The 3,746-nt window shown below is 45.8% G+C and overlaps 1 annotated feature.

The window, feature by feature from the left end:
- Positions 214-1,413: an enhancer, noted in NCBI's record as "MED14-independent group 3 enhancer chr16:55786457-55787656 (GRCh37/hg19 assembly coordinates)". NCBI's record gives its function as "activates an origin of replication core promoter dependent on BRD2, BRD4, P300/CBP and CDK7 cofactors, and independent of MED14, by STARR-seq in HCT116 cells {active_cell/tissue: HCT116}" and the evidence as "EXISTENCE:reporter gene assay evidence [ECO:0000049][PMID:35650434]".

The following is a 3,746-nucleotide window of genomic DNA, read 5'->3' as shown; positions in this document are numbered from 1 at the left end:
ATGGTGTTTTGTGGATGTGAAGACCCCTTGGAGCCTGACTGGTGGGATGGAGGGGGACTGTGGACTGTACCTTCCCCGATGCGCTCCTGGCCTCCATAGAAGGACAGCTATGCGGGAAGTTTCAGAGGGGCTACAACTTTCCCACCCCAGCTGTGACCCCACCCAGGAAAGATTCTGGAGATTTTGTCCCTTGCATGATCTTCTAAAGTGAGAACATTAAATGAGAACAGCTGACTGATTTCCTGGTGAGGGCTCTCTTCCTTGTTTGCAGACTGCTGCCTCCTCACTGTGTCCTGGTCTGGAACTTCTAGCCTCGAGAACTATGCAAATGCGAATTTCAGTTGATTAAGCTGACTCATTTCCTGGTGAGGGTTCTCTTCCTTGTTTGTAGGCTGCTGCCTTCTCACTGTGTCCTGTTCTGGAACTTATAGCCTAGAGAACTATGCAAATGCAAATTTTAGTTGATTAAACTGACTCATTTCCTGGTGGGGGCTCTCTTCCTTGGTTGCAGACTGCTGCCTCCTCACTGTGTCCTGGTCTGGAACTTCTAGCCTCGAGAACTATGCAAATGCGAATTTCAGTTGATTAAGCTGACTCATTTCCTGGTGAGGGCTCTCTTCCTTGTTTGCAGACTGCTGCCTCCTCACTGTGTCCTGGTCTGGAACTTCTAACCTAGAGAACTATGCAAATGCAAATTTCAGTTGATTAAGCTGACTCATTTCCTGGTGAGGCCTCTCTTCCTTGTTTGCAGACTGCTGCCTCCTCACTGTGTCCTGTTCTGGAACTTATAGCCTAGAGAACTATGCAAACGCAAATTTTAGTTGATTAAGCTGACTCATTTCCTGGTGAGGACTCTCTTCCTTGTTTGCAGACTGCTGCCTCCTCACTGTGTCCTGTTCTGGAACTTCTAGTCTAGAGAACTATGCAAACGCAAATTTTAGTTGATTAAGCTGACTCATTTCCTGGTGAGGGCTCTCTTCCTTTTTTGCAAATGCAAATTTCAGTTGATTAAGCTGACTCATTTCCTGGTGAGGCCTCTCTTCCTTGTTTGCAGACTGCTGCCTTCTCACTGTGTCCTGTTCTGGAACTTATAGCCTAGAGAACTATGCAAACGCAAATTTTAGTTGATTAAGCTGACTCATTTCCTGGTGAGGGCTCTCCTCCTTGTTTGCAGACTGCTGCCTTCTCACTGTGTCCTGTTCTGGAACTTCTAGCCTTGAGAACTATGCAAATGCGAATTTCAGTTAATTAAGCCACCCAGTCTGTGGTATTTTGTTACAGAAGCCCGAGCAGACTAATACATTCTCCAAGTGCCCTACACCAGTAAATTATGACATATCCATACAATGAATGACTATACAGCAATGATGACAAACTACAGCCATATACAACAATACACGTGAATCTCATAAACATAATATTGAGGGAAAGAAACCAGATGCAAGAGTATGTGATTCTGTTCATATAAAGCACAAAACCTGGAAAAAGAAATATTGCTGCTAGACATCAGGACTGTGGTGACCATTTTGGGTAGATAGGCAAGGAGGGGGAAGTGAGCAGGGCCTGGAATTGAGCTCCATGTGGCTTCTGGGATGCTGGTAATATTGTGTCTTGATCTGGGTCCTAATTACACAGTGTGATCAGTTAGTGAAGTTATCAAGTCATAATATATACATAGCATGTGTGTGTTTGTGTGTATGTGTGTATGTGTATATATATATATTTCTTATATGTATGTTATGTTCAATAAAAAACTGAAATGTTTGTACCAGACCTTAAGAACCTGTTATCTAATACAGGAGACAAGATTGATACAGATAAAATTACTGGTGATCACATAAATTATAGTTACAGGATAGAATATAAATGATCAAATGCAGCAATGATTTTAATCAGGACTCTGTCATATGTACTAAGAGAAATCCAACTGAAACTTACCTAAAGCATATATTGAATAAAATGTAGTCTCTCACATGAAAAGTTCAGGAGGTAAATAGAGCTTGAAATACAATTACATAAATAAATGTAATTAATGAAATAAATAGATTAGATAGGTAATAGATGATAGATAGATAATTGATAGATGGTAGATAGATAATAGATAGACAGATAGGTAGACAGACATTTTATGGCATTATCTTCCTATAAAGAGAGAAGTCTGTTTCCTACATGTCAAGGTAGAAAAGCTGTCCTCCAGGCACCCACGGTGTGCTCCAGCAACCTTGCCAACACCAGCCCTGCTGCCCGTGGGCTGGCCCCCTTGCCCCCACTGCTCAGGGTCACACTTCCACCACGTTGTGGCTGGCCATCCCCCTTCCTACCCATCCTTTAATTTCAGACTTGAGCTCCACCCCGTTCATGGAGCACAGCAAGCTCTTTGCAATGAATTCCCTTGTATTTTGACACAATCAAGTGGTAAGGTAGGTTTTTTTCTCCCCAGCCCTTCCCATCGCAGGGAATAATGAGGCACAGTCTTGATACAAACTTTTAGGAGAGCATGCGGGGCAGGACTGAGTGGGATCTGTCCCTGCTGGGGGAAGGGAGGCTCATCCTGTACATGCGTTACCTGGGGCAGCACCAGGTGGGGCAGCTACCCAGGTGCAGGGCCTGAGTCGGCTTCCCACCCTCCCCTGCAGCTCTGCCCAGGGCGAATTTTTTTTTTTTTTTTAGGTGGAGTCTTGCTCTGTCACCTAGGCTGGAGTGCAGTGGCATGATCTCGGCTCACTGCAAGCACTGCCTCCCGGGTTCATGCAATTCTCTTGCCTCAGCCTCCCGAGTAGCTGGGACTACAGGCGCCCACCACCACACCCAGCTAATTTTTTGTATTTTTAGTAGAGACGGGGTTTCATTGTGTTAGCCATGATGGTCTCGATCTTCTCACCTTATCATCTGCCTGCCTCGGCCTCCCAAAGTGCTGGATTACAGGCTTGAGCCACCATGCCTGGCCCTCTCTAGTCTGACTATCTACCCCAATCTTTCTCCTGGGCAATAGGAAAAGTTATGATTTTGAGGACAATCCAGCTTTTTCTCTTGCTGATAAGGCAGGAGTGACACTCTTTAGAGTTTTCCACATTCTAGCAGAATCCAGAAATCACCCCTGAGATTCTGAAAGACACAGTATTAGGATGACCCTCTGGAGACTTGCTCTAAGGTGGTCAGTGCCCGCAACAGAAGTGGTCCAGGTTACAGAGGGAGTTTAGACCAGCTGTTGAAAGAGACAGCCTCAGGGAGGGGTCTAGGAGGCTAGTGTACATACTGAGGAAGGTGTGGCAGACCTGTGCAAGAGTCAATAAAGGCCATCCAACAGTGCCACGGGATCACCTCGGCACCTCTCTCTCTTCCCTGATCCAGGCAAATTCTCAGCCTGGGCCATTTCCATTTCCATAGGCAGATCCAAATGGAGGATAGGGATGCTGCACTCTGGCAATCCTAAATCCTATTGTTGGAAATTCTTGGGGGCTCAGAAACATGCAGTAGGCCCAGAGCTCCCCTGAGCACTGTCCATGACCCAGCCCTCTGGACTGTACTCGTCCTGAGGCCAGGCCATCCCCAGCAAAGCCAGCTTCCTTCTCACATTGCCTCTTTCATCATCGTTCTGTCTCTGAGGAGGATGGATTAATCTCTAATACAAGACACAAGCAGTGATTTGGCTTTCAAAAGATCTTTTATTGCCAAAGCTGAGGTCACAAATAAAAAACTTGCTCCTTCATGACCTCTGCCCCCTACCCCCCACCACCAGACAATTC

Source organism: Homo sapiens, chromosome 16, assembly GCF_000001405.40.
Source record: "Homo sapiens chromosome 16, GRCh38.p14 Primary Assembly".
Classification (NCBI taxonomy): domain Eukaryota; kingdom Metazoa; phylum Chordata; class Mammalia; order Primates; family Hominidae; genus Homo; species Homo sapiens.
The sequence above is the reverse complement of the archived record's forward strand: the minus strand, read 5'-3'. Positions and strand labels throughout refer to the sequence as shown.